General features: G+C 50.1%; 1 protein-coding gene across 32 annotated transcripts in view, besides 1 other annotated feature; it reads right to left on the bottom strand.

Moving 5' to 3' along the window:
- SHANK2 (SH3 and multiple ankyrin repeat domains 2) overlaps nt 1-16,908 on the bottom strand; it is a 785,381-nt gene that overhangs the window by 171,360 nt on the left and 597,113 nt on the right. The gene's annotated exons all lie outside the window — the stretch shown is intronic.
- Nucleotides 11,111-11,405: a silencer, noted in NCBI's record as "tiled region #3810; HepG2 Repressive DNase matched - State 19:H4K20, and K562 Repressive DNase unmatched - State 9:DNaseU". NCBI's record gives its function as "represses a minimal TATA promoter and a strong SV40 promoter by Sharpr-MPRA in HepG2 and K562 cells {active_cell/tissue: HepG2 | K562}" and the evidence as "EXISTENCE:reporter gene assay evidence [ECO:0000049][PMID:27701403]".

Genomic DNA, 16,908 nt, shown 5'->3' on the forward strand with positions numbered 1-16,908 from the left:
GTGGAAGTGGGCTCCGCAAGTGCCTGAAAGGGAGTCTCAGTCCATCAGGCCTTTGCTCAGGGTGCCGTAGCAAAATGCCACAAACTGGTGGCTTCTAGACAACAGAAATGTATTTCTCACCATGCTGTGGGCTGGAAGAGTCAGTGTCTGGTGAGGGCCCCTGTCCTGGTTTCTTCTCTTGGTGTCTTCAAAGGGCAGAAGGGGCAAAGGGGCTCTCTGGGGTTCCTTTTATAAGGGCACTACTCCTCCTCATGAGGGACCCACCTTCATGACCTCATCCCCTCCTGAAGGCCCCACCTTCTAAAACACCATCACACTGTGGATGAGGATTTACTGTATGAATTTTTCAGGTGACACAGACCATCACACCACAGCAAAGAGGGCCTGGTTTTTCTTTTTCTTTTCTTTTTGAGAGTCAATTTCCATCTGATTTTCCCAGCAACACATTAATTGGGTAAAGCCAAATCCACATGAGTAGGTGGGGTGGGTGCAGGAAGGAGGGTGGCCTGAGGCTCCCCTGGCTGGCCAGGGACATGAAGGTGCCCTGCAGGCCCACAGGGTGGGTTCTGGCCTCCAGGGCCTGAGCGGACCCCCCTTGAGCCCCAAGGGGTCTTTACCTGGCTCCTCTCTAAACTCTCGGCCTCTCAGTGGTGGAGTTCTACGTGGCTGGGATTGGGACATCAGTGGACCCAGGGACGGCCCCAAGGAAGGGGCTAGGTCTCAGACATAAGGAGGAGGGGGCAGGTCTTCAGGCCCACAGGCCCGTCTGGGGCTCAGAGGGCTTTGCCCAGGCCGTCCAGGGGCCTGGAGGCTGCAGAACGTGCAGGTGCAGCTGGGATGTGTCGCCAATGGTAAGCAGGCAACCTGGGGCCACGCACAGCTAGTGCAGTGGGCTGAGTGGTGTCTCCCAGAAAGATGTGCCCAGGTCCTAATCTCCGGAACTGAGAATGGGATCTTATTTGGAAAGAGTCCTCACAGACATAATTAAGTTAAGGACCTTGAGATGAGAAGATTATCCTGGATTACCTGGCTGGGCCCTAAACCCAGTGACAAGTGTCTTTATAAGAGAGAGGCAGGGGGAGATTTGAGACACAGAATCGCAGAGAGGAGAAGGCCACGTGAAGATGGAGGCAGAGACGAGCGACGCAGCCATGAGCCAAGGGACGCCTGGAGACACGGGAAGCCGGAAGAGGCTGGGAAGGATCCTCCCCTAGAGCCACCATGGGGAGCAGGGCCCTGCCAGGCCCTGGATTTCAAACCTGTGGCCTCCAGCACTGTGAGTGAACGCATCGCTGTTGTCTCAGGCCACTCAGTTTCTGGTCATTTGTGACAGCGGCCTCAGGACATGAATACAGCTATGCTTCAGAGAGGACTGCACGAAGCTGAGGCCCGAGCCCTGACCTGGGATCACAGGCATGTGCTGGAGCTGGGGGCCCACTACGAGCAGGGGAGGGCTGGGGTAGGAGGGGCGCATGCCCAGTCAGGATCCCTCCCTGTCTCCCATTCTCTAGAACAGTCCCTCAAGGCTGGGCTCTGGAATCCTCTGTAAGTTGCTCCATCTCAGAAAGCCTCAGTTTACTCATCTGTAAAACGGAGAGTCAGGCAAGTCCACCTTGCAGAGCTCCTAGGAAGAATCGAGGCGACTGCTGGGTAACCTGCTTAGCACCATGAGTGCAGGCAATGAGCGTCTACACAGAGAGCCTGGGGACTTAGAGGGATGCAAAGAGCCTCTTCGCTTGAGGCCTGAAGGTTCAGACAGCTAAAACATGGGCTGGCTACTGCCTGGCATCCCTCCCTGATGAAAAATAACAATAGATCGTGTACAGAATTTTTAAAATTCTAAGTATTTTTTTTTTCTTTACTATGCTTTTTTTTCTTTTTTTCTTTTCTTTTTTTTTTTGAGACGAAGTCTTGCTGTGTTGCCCAGGCTGGAGTGCAGTGGCATGATCTTGGCTCACCGCAAGCTCCACCTCCTGGGTTCACACCGTTCTCCTGCCTCAGCCTCCTGAGTAGCTGGGACTACAGGCGCATGCCACCACGCCTGGATAATTTTTTTGTATTAGTAGAGATGGGGTTTCACCGTGGTAGCCAGGATGGTCTCGATCTCCTGACCTTGTGATCTGCCCGCCTTGGCCTCCCAAAGTGCTGGGATTACAGGCATAAGCCACTGCGCCTGGACTATGCTTTTTTCTTAAACGTGCTTTAGCTTGTCTAGGAGGATCCAGTACAAGGCATTGTGAGATCAACAGCAGAGAATGGCATGTGCTCTCCTTCCAGAGGCACAGCAAGACCGCCTGCCCCAGCCTCCCCTGCAGGGAGGAATGACCGCCAGTTGAGATTGCAGTCAACGGAACAGAAGCGGAAGTGATATGCACTTTCTCTTCTGCCAGCCAGAGGCGGCCGAGCCCGGTGACCTGGGCATCTGCGTATTCAGGATGGAGGAGCTGGGAGCTGGGAGGAGCCTGAAGCTGCTTGGAGGAGAGCTGCCTGCCCGACTTGAGAGGGGCAATAAATATCTTTCCACGGCTCAAATGAACAGCCAGTTTTCAGTATGTGGCTTGTTACGGTGTCCAGCATTGCGGGCACGGACACACAATGTCTAAAATGGGTGCAGTTCTACAAAGCACACCCGAGATCCCTGGGCTGTGGGCAGTCCAGCGGGCAGGCAAGCCCCTGCCCCAGCTTGCAGCTGTGCTAGCACAAAAGGGCCAATCTCTCTGGGCAAGGGTTGCACTAGGCAATCCCACTGGGGATGACTCTTCTGGGTGACCAAGGTTCAGGCTCTTTCCTGGGAGTTCCTGGGTCTGGAGAGAAGGCTACGGGGGACTGGGTACCAGGATGGGTAAGGTCAGAAGGACAGGGGCTGGGGTCACTGGCATTCCCCTGAGGGAGGCCGCATTTCACAGGCTTTTCCAGTTGGTGAAGCCTTTGCCCGCAGGGTCTCTTTAAAAGGAAACCAGACAAAGCCAACCCAATACTTGCTGCGCTGCGCCCTGACCTCAAACCATCCTGCCTAGCTACTGGCAATTAGGCTGCCTTTGAGATAAATTTTCTCGCCTAAAAATGCCCATGGGTCTTAAAACTTTGATTTTCCGTTCGATTCAAATTTAAATCCAGAATCGCAGTGCTGTGGGGGGTGGGGGGGAAATGCCCAGGATAAAGACAATGTCCTAGCTAACAAACCAACCAGTGAGTGACAGAGGGGCCTCAGCAGGAAGTCTGGGCAGAACGGAGCTTGCTAGGTCACCCCATGTGAACTGCTTTGGAGAACAGAGTGGTAGCTTTGTTAGATTTATGGGGACGGCGGCTCAGCCTGTCTAATCGCAGTTGAGGCGGGGCCGAGAGGTGTCTCCCCTGTGTCCACGCTAGCTGGGTGCTTCCCTCCCACGGACACAGAGGCCGGGCTGCCACTTCCATCCTTCCCCTGACACCTCCCGTCATCTTCTGGGAAACACCAAGTGACACAAACAGGACACTGATTTCCTGGAAATTTATATCTGGCTCAGGAGTTGCACCTGCTGAAGAGGTGAAGATGACAAAGGCCCTCCATGCGACTGAGAATAACGCAGAGATGGTCCCTCAGGCTTGAGAGCCATAATTTCACCAGCTCGTTTATTTCTAATTAGATAAAGAATACAAGTTTTTAAAAAAAGTTACTTTACAGAAGAGCCAAGGTGACTACAGTTAATAATAATTTATTGCATATTTCAAAATATACAAGAGAAGATTTGGAGTGTTCCCAGCACAAAGAAATACATGTTGGAGGTGACGACATCGCAGTTATCCTGATTTGATCCTTAGACATCGTGTGCATGTATCAAAACGTCACATGGGCCCGTACATATGTACAATTACTAGGTATCAGTTAACAAATAGCTGAGCCCCCTGTGACTCACCCTCCACCCATCTCTTCCTCCAACGGGTTACCTTGGAGGAAGGCTTATCTTGAAGGATTATCACATTGGTGTGGAGCTTTCCAGAACTTTTGCATAACATTTATGTTCCCTTGGAAAATGTGGAGTACAGAGAATACATATAATATTTTTGCATGCTTTTTTAAAAAGCAGAGGCCGGGTGCGGTGGCTCACACCTGTAATCCCAGCACTTTGGGAGGCCGAGGCGGGCGGATCACGAGGTCAGGAGATCAAGACCATCCTGGCTAACACAGTGAAAACCCGTCTCTACTAAAAATACAAAAAAATTAGCCGGGCGTGGTGGCAGGTGCCTGTAGTCCCAGCTCCTCAGGAGGCTGAGGCAGGAGAATGGCGTGAACCCAGGAGGCGGAGCTTGCAGTGAGCTGAGATCACGCGCCACTGCACTCCAGCCTGGGCGACAGAGTGAGACTCCGTCTCGGAAAAAAAAAAAAAAAAAAAAGCAGAAATATTATTATACTACAGTGGTTGGTCTGTGACCTGTGGTTAGTATTTGGGATGGTGTCTTGGGAATCACGTCGTGGTTGGTATGCAAATATTCCTCTTTCTTTTATACGTTGGCATTGTTTTTGGTCATTTGAATGAGGGTTGAGCTCCTGCCATGTGCTGGGTGCTTTCTCTTGTAGGTGAGCAAGAAAGACAGTCTTTGCTCTCATAGAGTTATGGTCCCATGGGGGAAGACTGACCAACAACAAAAGGTGAACAGAAACCATACCGTGTGCTGGCCAGAGCTATGAATAAACAGGAAGCCGACTAAGGGACTGCAGGTGGAGGGGGGGGAGGAACACAGAGGGGCAGAGGAGATCTGGGGTCGGGGGCTGAGCTGGAGCTCTGCCCAGGGTCTCAGCTGACCCAAGGGTTTGTACGTGGCGGCGAGCAGGGGTTATCACTGGTCCTGTTTCAGAGCTAAGGAAACATGCTGGGACTTGCCCCAGATTTAACAGGAAAGCCCAACTATTCAAAAGTTAAACAACAAAAAGTGAAGAACATTGCTTTTTTAAAAATTCCAAATTTAAAAAAATGTAGTAGAAGACACAAAGCATAAAATTTGCCATTTTACAGTGGCCAGTTCATGGCATTAACTACATTTACAGTGTGTGCAGCCATCACCAGCGTGCATCTCCAGAACTTTCTCATCCTCCCAAACTGAAACTCTGTCCCCATTACACACGAACTCCCCATCCCCTTCCCCAGCCCCCGACACCCACCATCCTACTTTCTGTCTCTATGAATGTGACGGATGTGACTACTCTAGGAACCTCACTTGAGCGGAATCATACAGTTCAAAGGAAGAGAATGTTGTATTTGGCCACTCCTGGCATCTGTCCATCTGCTTCCCGATGGGTCCCAGGCTGGATACCTCCATGTGGGGTGGACGCAGCGACAGGAACTGAGGGGGCCCCCGGCCAAGGGCAGGACCAGCAGCCCTCCCGCATGGCAGCTCCCGCCTGCTGCAAATGCAAGAGGGAGGTTGATCTTGGAAGAACACACCTTTCCAACATGCATTCCCAGAGACAATGCAGATCTCAGCAAAGTCAGGGGTGAGGACAGTGCTGAAATCCATCTCCAGACCTGCTTGCTAAACCCCACAGTGTCACTGAGTCCCACTTTGCTGTGCTCATTTCATTGATTCCTTCCTTTATGCATTCAGCAAACAACAGCCCATGCCTTTTGCCAAGACCGACACCTGTGCCTCAGACAAACACGTGGAGAAGAAGGTGACTGCCTTTAAGATGACCCCAGCCTGGCAGGGACTATGAACAAGCAGGAAATTCATCAAAAGATCTCGTCAAAGGCTGGGCATGGTGGCTCATGGCTGTAATGCCAGCACTTTGGGAGGCTGAAGCGGGCAGATCACCTGAGTTCAGGAGTTCGAGACGAGCCTGGCCAACATGGTGAAACCCAGTCTTTACTAAAACTACAAAAATTAGCTGGGCACCTATAATCCCAGCTATCTTAGGAGGCTGAGGCAGGAGAATCGCTTGAACCTGGGAGGCGGAGATTGCAGTGGGCCGAGATCACGCCACTGCACTCCAGCCTGAGCAACAGTGAGATTCTGTCTCAAAACAAAAACAAAAACAAAAATAAAAAACACATCAAGAATGCTTTGAAGAAGCACACAAGGTACACACAAGCTTCATCCTGCTCAATGCCAGAATCCCGGTGTTGCTGGTCGGAGGCAGGGGCTGTCTAGGGGGGCTATAGGCTGGGGATAGGGCTGGACATGGGGCTGCTGGGCACACAGCCTGTTCTCCAGGAACAACAACAACAACAAAAACAAAAAACAAAAAACTGAACAACAAATCAGTCCACTGTAATCAGAAGGCTCATCGAAAAACACTCTGGAAAAATTAACTGACAACAAAAAATGTCTTCCCGGAAAAGATGAGGCTGGGCCCAATACAGGAATTAAAACCAATCACTGCTGACCCCACACGGGTGCTGCCGAGGTTCAGCTGCTATATTTACAACAAGAGAATGATGCATATGTCACGAATTGGAGGCAACGCCACCTGCCACAGGCCCTCAGGGCTGAGTCCCCTCAAATTCAGTGGCCGACACCTCACAGTTTCGCTTCAGTCCAGCAGCAGACTGGGGAGCTGGGGCAAGGCAGAGTGCCCTGGGCTTTGAGTCCAGCATCGGGGTGGCCAGGACCCCCGAGAACCCTCTGACCCCCTGCCCTGCCACAGCAGGGCATACAGTGTTCAAGAACTCTGGAGCCGGAGCCAGACTTGGGTTTGAATCCTGCCCTGTCACTCCCTCATCATCACCTGTGATGGGTCATCCTATGTTCACCAAACCTCAGCTGTTCCATGTGCAAACTGACACTAATGCCATCTCCTTCCTCACACTGCTGAGCGTGGAAGGGGACCCTGGCATACAGTAAGTGCTCAAGAAGTGGCAGAGGTCATTATTGAAACAGTCCTTGTTATTGTTCCCAGAGCTGTGTGGACCCCCAGAACTCGCATGCTGGTAGCCTGTGGCGGCAAGGGCAGCGTTTGGATCTCCTGTGCTTGGTGCCCCCTCAAACCCAGGACATTCAGTGTAAATGACTGTGAGCCTCAGGCTGGAAAGATCGTTTCCCTTCCCAGCTAGAAAGACTCATCCATCAGGCTGTGTCAGACGCACCTGAGCCCTCCAGGGTGGTCAAAGGTAAGGAAGCTTGTGTCCCAAGTGCAGCATTTAGGGCTTCCCAAGGCAAAGTGCCCAATCAGGCTCTCTACTCTCCAAGTTCGTGGTGCATGGTAGCCACAGCTCACCTCTCCCAATACACAGGATCTCCAAGGGCCACCCTGCCATCCCTCAAGTTCCTCAGCCCATGTTTTCCCTCCTTCCTTCAGTTTGACAATAGGGGTGGAGCAACCACTTTGCAGGATGTCTCTGCTTAGGGGCTATGGAGAAGCATGGGACCTGAACTCTGCACTCTTTGGGAAGAAGGATCAGATAGGATTCAAATCTGTTTCACCAACCACTAGGCTCCAGGCTTGAGCCTAACAAGCAGTTGCTCAAAATAACTTGGTAGATGTGTGTAACCCAGATAGATACCCTAACCCCACGTGGTCCAGTCCTTGTTGGAAAGATTTTCAAGGAATCACAGTCCAGATACCAAACAGATAGAAAACAGGGTTTCTGATCTTTAATAGTACTTCTCCAGTTATTAAAAGGAATCTAACTTTTATTTATTTTATTTATTTATTTATTTATTTATTTATTTATTTATTTATTTATTTTTGAGACAGAGTATTGCTCTGTTGCCCAGGCTGGAGTGCAGTGGCACAATCTCGGCTCACTGCAACCTCTGCTTCCTGGGTTCAAGCGGTTCTCCCTGCCTCAGCCTCCCGAGTAGCTGGTACTACAGGTGTCCGCCACCATGCCCAGCAAATTTTTGTATTTTTTTTAGTAGAGATAGGGGTTTCACCACGTTGGCCAGGCTGGTCTTGAACTCTTGACCTCAGGGGATCTGCCTGCCTTGGCCTCCCAAAGTGCTGGGATTACAGGTATGAGCCACCGCGCCCAGCCAAAAGAAATCTAACTTAAAGCACAAAGCAATATCTTTTGGTAGCCCCAACTTTTATCATCTGTATGTAGAAGTAAGCCCCCAGTTTTCCTTCAAGTCTTGCCTGTGCATAACTTTTGTTCCTTCCGGCTTTCTGCCTAAGCTCCCTCTGTTTCTTTGTTTTCCTCTTTCCTCTAGAATCTGCATCACAGAAGATATCCAGTTGGGCAAGACCCCGCCTCCCTGACAGGTGGCACAGGAGGGTGGTTGGAGCAGGAGGGTGGGAAGTGATACGTGGATCTTGGAAGAACAGCCTGGCTCTACCACTCGCCGTGTGTCTGTGGGTATGTGAGTCCCCACTCTGTGCTGTGGCCTCCTCATGCAGAGAAAGGAGCTGATAAAAGTCACCGAGTTAAACTTAACACAAAGTGAGTTCATGTGTGTGAACTCTCTCAAAAACGGTGCTGGCACACAGTAGGTGCTCAAGCAGCGCAAGCATTTTACACAGTCACTGCCGTGGCTGTTCGGAGTCTTATTTGCAGTCTGTATCATGCTGCTCAGCAGTTAAGCTTTTGTTGGATCTGAGCTCTGTCTTAACAAAAGGGGACAGGACCCCCTTCCCTCTGCGGTCCTTCTGCCCAGGCATGTGACGAAGGTGGTGAACTCAGCACTCACTGAACACCCGCCCATCCCACCCCGGATGGGGACTCTGGGGTGTGCATCAGCAGTTTCAAGAAACACAGAATGACCACCTGACCCAGCAATTCCACTCCTAGGTATGTACCCTAAGGAACTGAAAACGAAAACTGGTACAAAAACGTTTATGTCGACATTATTCACAACCATAAGTTAGAAACAGCCCAAGTGTCCCTGAACTAGTGAATGGATAAACTAATTGTGGTCTAACCACATGGTGGAACGTTATTCACCCACAAACAGAAGGTAGTACGGACACATGCTACCATACGGATGAACCTAAAGCACACGATGCTGAAAGAAGCCAGACAAAAGGTTGCCTAGAGCATGATTCTGTGGGTGGAAAATGCCCGGAACAGGCAGACCCAAGACCCAGAGGGGATGAGTATTTGCCTGGGGCTGGGAGGGAGATGGAGAGTGAGTGCTAATGGGTTTGATGGTAAATTTTATGGTCTGTGTATTTTACCACAATAAAAAAGACATACCCAAGTGAAAAAAAAAGTGTATAAACACATGACAAAATGTATTACTAACAGACACATATAAAGAAGTAAAATTCCACAAAGATAAGCCTTGTTATGCGGACACTGTCTCCTGGTGGCAGCATCCCTGGTTTTTTCTTTGGCTTCTCTGCATTACCAATTTTATTTGTGTCTGACATGATTTACTCGAAACACAGTGAAATAATGCTAATGTAAAAGCTGGCTATCAGGCAGATATGGGGGTAAAGTTTACTCAAAATTTCCTAGGACCAGGGGTACAATTCCCCCTGTAAACCCCTCAGGATTCCAGTGGGCCTGGGGAGAGAAGGCTGGCACCTTCCAGGGAAGGGCTGGCTTCTCACGCTCTCTCTGATGTAAATGAATCCACCCCTCCACCTCCATCAGCTTTTCAAGTTCAGGCCCTGATGGAGAGGGGGAAGGGGTTTGGGAGGAAGGAGACCCTTGTCCAAGACGGAAGTTCTATCCTGGCTGTGCTCTCCTCAGTGGTGCCTTCCTTTCCTTAAGGAATATTTATTGGTGGCCTGCCATGTGCTCGGCTCTGGGTGGTCCCTTATCTGATGGGGCATGTGCAGGAAGTGACTATGGCAGAGGGTTATGAGCGGGCATCACAGGCAACTTTCAGGGAGCAGATGCAGGAGGTGCCCTGGTAAAGCAGGTGGAGGAGGCAAAACTGTGGGCAAGTGTCTGGGGACAGGAGGGGTGTGGCACATTCCGGAGACCAGAGAGAGTGTCCAATGGCGACGTTCATCTCCTCACTGGCCTGGCACACGTGCCATCTCCCCTTCTCACCCATATAACCCACTCCTCCATCTGCAACCCCAGCCCTGAGGGTGCTGAAGGAGGTGCACATGCCCAGGACCGTCCCTGTCTATCTCCATGACCCCCTAGGTCCTGCCATGGAGACTGAACACAAAGGAGATGCATGGGAAAGTCTGCTCCATGGGACCCATCTGAAGATCCTGGGGAGAGGGAAGTAGAGAACTTGCTGGTGGGTGGTTGATTTCATGAGACCACAGCGGGGCTACCATTCTCAGGGCTCCACAGCATCAGCTCTAACTCCCCTTCTCATCCCACTCTGCTTACTGTTGGCGCACACACACCCTAATTCCCAGGGCTGACAAACTCCATCAATTAAAAGATCCTGTGGGGCACTTAGCACAGGGCCTTCCTCCAGTTCATTTGCCAGTCTAACCACTTGTATCATGAAACTCCCCACGAAAGGGCACCAAAGGCGAAGAGAAATCAGTACTAACAAGAGCCTGCTGAGAACACTGGGAGGTGGGCAGTGGGTGTATGGGAGGGAGGAGGGGGGCAGGTGGAGAGGACCCAGAGGCACCAATGGGTGCATCAGAGGACCTGGCGCCAGCAGCTTCCAACATGGAGATGTCAGCCCACTATGCCTCCTGCAGCCTTCGCTCCATGTAGCCTGGGGCTGGGTGTACAGCATCCACACACAGAAAAAGATGGCTGTTAAGATTACATCCCAATGATCTGGGACTTACCTGGAGCATCAGACAGACACAGTGCAAAAGAAACAAGCTTTGGAGTCAGCTTAGATTCAGACCTCCCTGGAGGGCCCTGGGCAGGCTTCTTAATCTCTCTGAACTGTGCTGCATGCTGGAGATGTAGCAGAGACCTGGTCAGCAAACTCTCTGACCCACAGGGAATGTTCCCTGAGGGAGGTGGATAGTAAGTCAGTCACCTAACACGGGAGATGTATGATTCCTATGGTCATGGAAGCACACGGTGTGAGTGTGAGAGTCAGGGCAACCTGAGGGTGCCAAGAGGGGCCTCTCTGAGAAGGCATCATGTGAGCTGAAACCTCAGTGGTGAGGGGAGTGGGGCTCAAAGCAGATGCAGATGGACATGGCAGGACATAGCAGATGCTCAACCATGTTGGCTCCTTGGCCCCTCCTTGTGGAAGAGATTTCTCCATCGAGTAGATGAGACTGTCACTAAGTAATGAGCCTCTATGCCCAGAAACTCCAAGGACACAGGGGACAGAAATGAAAGGTGCAGGGATGGAGGGAGGGGACATGCTGAGGGCTTTCTCCAGACTCCTGAGGAAGGCTGCATCCAATCCTCCCAGCTGTCTAGTTCAGCACCCTGCAGAGAGCCAGTGCCCTGGAGTGGTTCAGCACCCTGGAGAGAGACCATGCCACACAAGGGTTCAGCACCCTGGAGAGATCCAGCAATGCTCTTGCTCTGTGCAGCTGTACAGCCACACACATTTGTACCTACTTCACTAACAACCCAGGCCCCCACTAGACCAGCCGGTCATGCCCAGCTTCATAGCATCTGATCACTCCCCAAATCCACCTTGAACATTCCTGACCCCCTAAGCTTTTGCTCAAGACCTTCCTCCTCAGTTCTGCCTGCAAAAACCTCACTTACCCATCAAAGCCTGGAGCCAACACCATCTTTCATGAAGCCCTTTTCCTGATTTACTTTGGGGCCTTCACCACACTCTGCTTTTTGCCTACCCCTTCTAGACTGTGTGTTCCTCAAGGAACTGTGTCTGATTCACGTCTTTCTTCCAGCCCAGTACCTGGGAGGCAGAATGTATGCTTCAGAAATGAATGAGTGAAGCTTCAGAAGTAATTTTTACAATTGCCACCATTTGTTGAGAACTCATGATGCCAGAAACTGCTACATGCTTCACACACACTTTTATTTACAGTTCAAGAAACTGAGGCCAAGAAATGAGCAACCTGCCCAAGTTCACACAGTTAGGAAGAGGCAGAGCCTGGATTCAAACCTGGATCATATGGCACAGCCTGTGCCCTTGACCGCGGCTCCTCTCTGCCTCTCTCCAACCCTGTGTGCTGCCATCTGCCAGTCCCATGGCATCTGAGCACAGCAGCCATGGTCCCCTGAAGTGATTCTGAATCTTTTTATAGCCTGAAATTGAAATCACTGATGCTTCAAATTAGAACCCCAAAATGAACGAGCCAAGACTTCAGATTTGCAGTTGCCGAGCTGCCCGCATCCACCTTCTCAGCAAGATTCCTGGGCCACTCCTCAGCCCGAACCACCTGTTCCCAGTCAATATGGAGGACAAAGAGAACGACCTCCCCAGGCCCAGAAGGCCACATGCAGAAAAGGGATCCAACCTCCCCGCCATCCAGGGCTCCCCACAGAGCAGTGGCCTCTGTCTGGGAGAAGAAAGACCACAGTGCATTAAGCCTCAGAGAGCAGACCCCAATGCTGTTGGCCTCAGAGACTGAAGATCCCCAGTGCTATTAGCCTTAGAGAGTAAAGGCCCCCAATGCTATTACCCTTGGTCAATGGATCCTGACGACACGGTGAGAAGCCACTGAGCTGCCAGGACAGAAACACCCCACACTCAAGAGGGATGCAGGACAGACCCTGTTTGTCTTTGGTGTGAATGCAATGAAATATTGGCCTTGATGACCAAAGCACCAATGTGACCCTGGCTGAAGAATTCAGCAGTCACCCTGGGTTCCTGCTAACATCAGCTGGTGTTTGGTCTTTAACTTGGTTATTAAGTAGCCATTCAAAACCATCTAAATAAGAGTGGAAGAAATTTTGGGGATGGGGTGGAGAGTTCCTAGATTGGTCATCAGGTCCACCAGCAGGACATGTGACAAAGTCTCTCACAATACCCCAAAAGGAAAGCTAGAGAAATGTGAGCTGTGTGATGTGGCTGAACCACTAAACCCAAGGGATGCTGGCACCAGGCAAACCACAACAGGGCTCTGGCCTTGGCCCTGGGATTTGCTGCTAGAGGGCAAAGTGGGCATCAGGAATAGGAATTCCAAGGTGATCTAAAAGCCAGACCCATGCCAACAGAGAATTGTACAGGCTGGTAAGTGCTCTGGGAGCAGTGGTTTGAGCCAAAGGAGGAGATATGCCTGCCAGGGACTTTGGAGGCTGGCGGGTGGGGTGGGACAGGTACCTCTATTAGTGATGTTCCTCACAACAGAGGCACAAGGAAACCATGGCTCATGTACTCTTGGCTGGAAGTGTCCGACGTACTTGGCACATGGTGGGTGTGCCCTGTGACTGCTACATGCTTCAAATAATAGTGGTAACAAACATCAGTCATTATTATAATATTATTATCCCCGTTTGTTCAACTAATAGCCACTGGTTTCCTCTTCTGAGTCAGGCATCATTAATGATGATGAAAGACAAGATGATAATCAATGACAAATACTGACTGAGGCCGGGTGGGGTGCATGCATCTTTAGTCCCAGTACTTCAGGAGGCTGAGGTGGGAGGATCATTTGAGGCCAGGAGTTTGAGACCAGCCCAGGCAACAAAGCAAGACTCTGGCTCTATAAAAAAGTACAAAAGTTAGCTACGTATGGTGGTGCGTGCCTGTAGTCTGAACTACTTGGAAGGCTGAGGTGGGAGGATCTTTTGAACCCAGGAGCTCAAGGCTGCAGTGAGCTGTGATTGTGCCATGCACTCCAGCCTGGGCAACAGAGCAAGATCCTGTCTCTAAAAAAGAAAGTTGATTGAATGCCAGCCCTGTGCTCAGCGCCTCTGACCAGCAGTCCAGTGCTAAGAGCCCAGTTCAGCACAACCACCCATTTTATCAACACGAATACTGGGACCCAGCAAGCATAATGACTGATCATGCTGCATCTGGACTTCATTTTCTTTCCCTTTTCTCTTTTTTTGAGATGGAGTCTCGCTCTGTCACCCAGGCTGGAGTGCAGTGGAGCAATCTCGGCTCACTGCAAGCTCCGCCTCCCAGGTTCACACCATTCTCCTGCCCCAGCCTCCCGAGTAGCTGGGACTACAGGCGCCCACCACCACACCCGGCTAATTTTTTTGTATTTTTAGTAGAGACGGGGTTTCACCATGTTAGCCAGGATGGTCTCGATTTCCTGACCTCGTGATCCGCCTGCCTTGGCCTCCCAAAGTGCTGGGATTACAGGCGTGAGCCACTGCACCCGGCCTGGACTTCATTTTCTTTCCTCCAAGTAATATTTAACTCTGAAGCTGTGGGGATTGACCCTTGAGCAGCGAGCTCTAACAACTGTTCTTCACACCAGCTTGGTTGCAAAGTCAAACATGCTAGAGGCCACCTCACATTTCTCAAGTCCCATTTTAAAATACCAGCCCAAGAAACATATATATTTTTTTCAAGACAGAGTCTTGCTCTGTTGCCCAGGCTGGAGTGCAGTGGTGCGATCTCGGCTCACTGCAACCTCCCGCTCCCGGGTTCAAGTGATTCTCCTGCCTCAGCCTTCCAAAAAAAAAAAAAAAAAAAAAAGAAAGAAAATGAAGTCCATATTCAGCATGATCAGTCATTAGGCTTGCTGGGTCCCAGTATTCCTGTTGATAAATTGGGTGGTTGTGACAGTAGCAGAATCACCTGAGATGAACTGGGCTCTCAGCACTGGACTGCTAGTCAGAGGCGCTGAGCACAGAGCTGGCATTCAATCAACTGGGATTAACAGGCACATGCCACCATGCCCAGCTAATTTTTGTATTTTTAGTAGAGACAGGGTTTCACCATGTTGGCCATGCTGGTCTCGAACTCCTGACCTCAAGTGATCTGCCTGCCTTGGCCTCCCAAAGTGCTGGAATTACAGGCATAAGCCACCACACCCGGCCTTATGAGATACTCCCAGGGTCTCCGAGGAAAACACCAGGGCATCCCTCTTAGCATCCTGACTTAAATACAAACCACGAGTATAAAGAAGATCCACGCCCTCTCTCGTGCAAGTATTTAATACGAGGAAAATGTAATTAGCAAACTCGAGCACCACTTTTCAAGGATGAAGGATACTGCCACCTGCTTTAACTGCAAGGGAAAACCTATTTGCAGAAATTAACACAAAAATGAGATTGGCCACTTCAGGGCCAAGAAAACAATCACAAAAACCATAGGCGTCATCAGAGCCCTGCAGCAGGCGGGTAAGGAATGGCCCCGGGAAATTAATTAATGCCCAGGAAGGCTTTTTCCTCTGACAGCAAACAGCACTATCTGTGCCAAGGGGGCTGAACATTTGTCTCCTCTGTGAGATAACTTTCTTCTAAGACACAGTTTCCTATGTATGAAATGGATACTTTTCAAAATATGAATACTTCGATTCTAGGAAATCTGAGACAAACATCTGAAAGAAAGAGAAAATAACACAATCTCACCACCTAGGGGTTAATATTTCCTTTCCTTTTTGTTTTCTATTCTATGACTATACTGGGGAAAGATGGTATTAGATGATATTGTGCTGATCATTTTGATTCTGCCTTTCTCACTAAGTAGAATGTAACCTTTTCTGGTTGGTATTAAGAGCTCCTTGTAAACATCATTTTTAATGCTTTCTTATGAATTCACAACAGATGTCCATTGCCACTGAACCATTCTCCTATTAGCCCCGCCCCCTCCCTGCCCCAACTCCTTGTTTTTGCCACACTGTAATTGCTACCTGGTTTTGTTTTTGTTTTTTTTGTTTTTTTTTTTTTGAGACGGAGTTTTGCTCTGTCACCCAGGCTGGAGTGCAGTGGCGTGATCTCGGCTCACGGCAACGTCCGCCTCCCGGGTTCAAGCGATTCTCCTGCCTCAGCCTCCTGAGTAGCTGGGATTTCAGACACGCACCACCACGCCCAGCTAATTTTTTGTATTTTTAGTAGAGACGGGGTTTCATCATATTGGCCAGGCTGGTCTCGAACTCCTGACCTCAGGTGATCCACCCGTCTTGGCCTCCCAAAGTGCTGGGATTACAGGCGTGATTTCTACCTGTTTTTTAAAAAATTATTCCCTTAGCATGGATTCCTAGATGTAAAATTCCTGGTTCAGCTTTATGGCTCTTGTTACATACTACCACATTGATTGTGAAAACATTTATGGCAACTTAGGCTTTCCCCCAGCAACACATGAGTGCTGTCACCAGCAAGGAGTATAGTCACAAAAAAGTATTTGCTAATTTGAAAATAAAACAGTCACCGCACTGCTTTTCTTTTTACCTTTTGCCCATTTATACATAAAGCACATCAAAGTGTTGTTCAGGCATCTTTGAGCCATGACATTACAGAGTCAGACAATGTGGGTTGGAATTCCACCTTCTCCACTCACCAGCTACATGGCCATGTAGTTACTGCACCTATGTACCTCAGTTTCCCCATCTGTAAAATGGGGAGGAACACACATGCTATATGGATGACTGTGAGGGTTAAGCGGAGCACTGCAGGGCTTGTAGGGTTTGGAGATCCAGCTCAGCTGCTATAAACAAGGACACAGCCTTCTTGGGACATTTGTTGCAAATGTTGTTTGCCCTCTGCCTGCCTGCTGTTGAGTTGAACTGTAAGGATGTCTCAGTTACAGGATATTTTAGATCACAAAAGTCATTCAAGAAACAACATTTAGGTTGTCAAACAAGGGGTTTGTGGAAGACAGTCCTAGTCTTAAGACTAGGAGATTAACGCAGCACCTGCTTGTGTTTGGGTCGAGGAGACTTTAGTTGGCAGGCCACATCAAGAGGCTGGAATGTCAACTTGCACTGGGCCAGTGGGTCATCACCTTGCCTGCCTGTTGGGACCCCCGGCATCACCACTGCAGCTTTCATGGATGCCCAGCTCTCGCCTCATGATTCTGATTCAGGGCGTGTGGGCTGGAGACGAGGTTTCTATAACCCTCAGGTGACTGACGCCCAGCCAGGTTTCACTGAGTGAGACCTACAGTGAGCCCTGCATGACATCCAAGTGGCGTCCCCACCTCCACATCTCCTTACACACTTGATGCACTACCGTCATCCAGGAACCACCCACATCCTCCTTAGCACATGTCGTGAACTTCAGAAGC

This window comes from Homo sapiens, chromosome 11 (assembly GCF_000001405.40).
Source record: "Homo sapiens chromosome 11, GRCh38.p14 Primary Assembly".
NCBI classification, from domain to species: domain Eukaryota; kingdom Metazoa; phylum Chordata; class Mammalia; order Primates; family Hominidae; genus Homo; species Homo sapiens.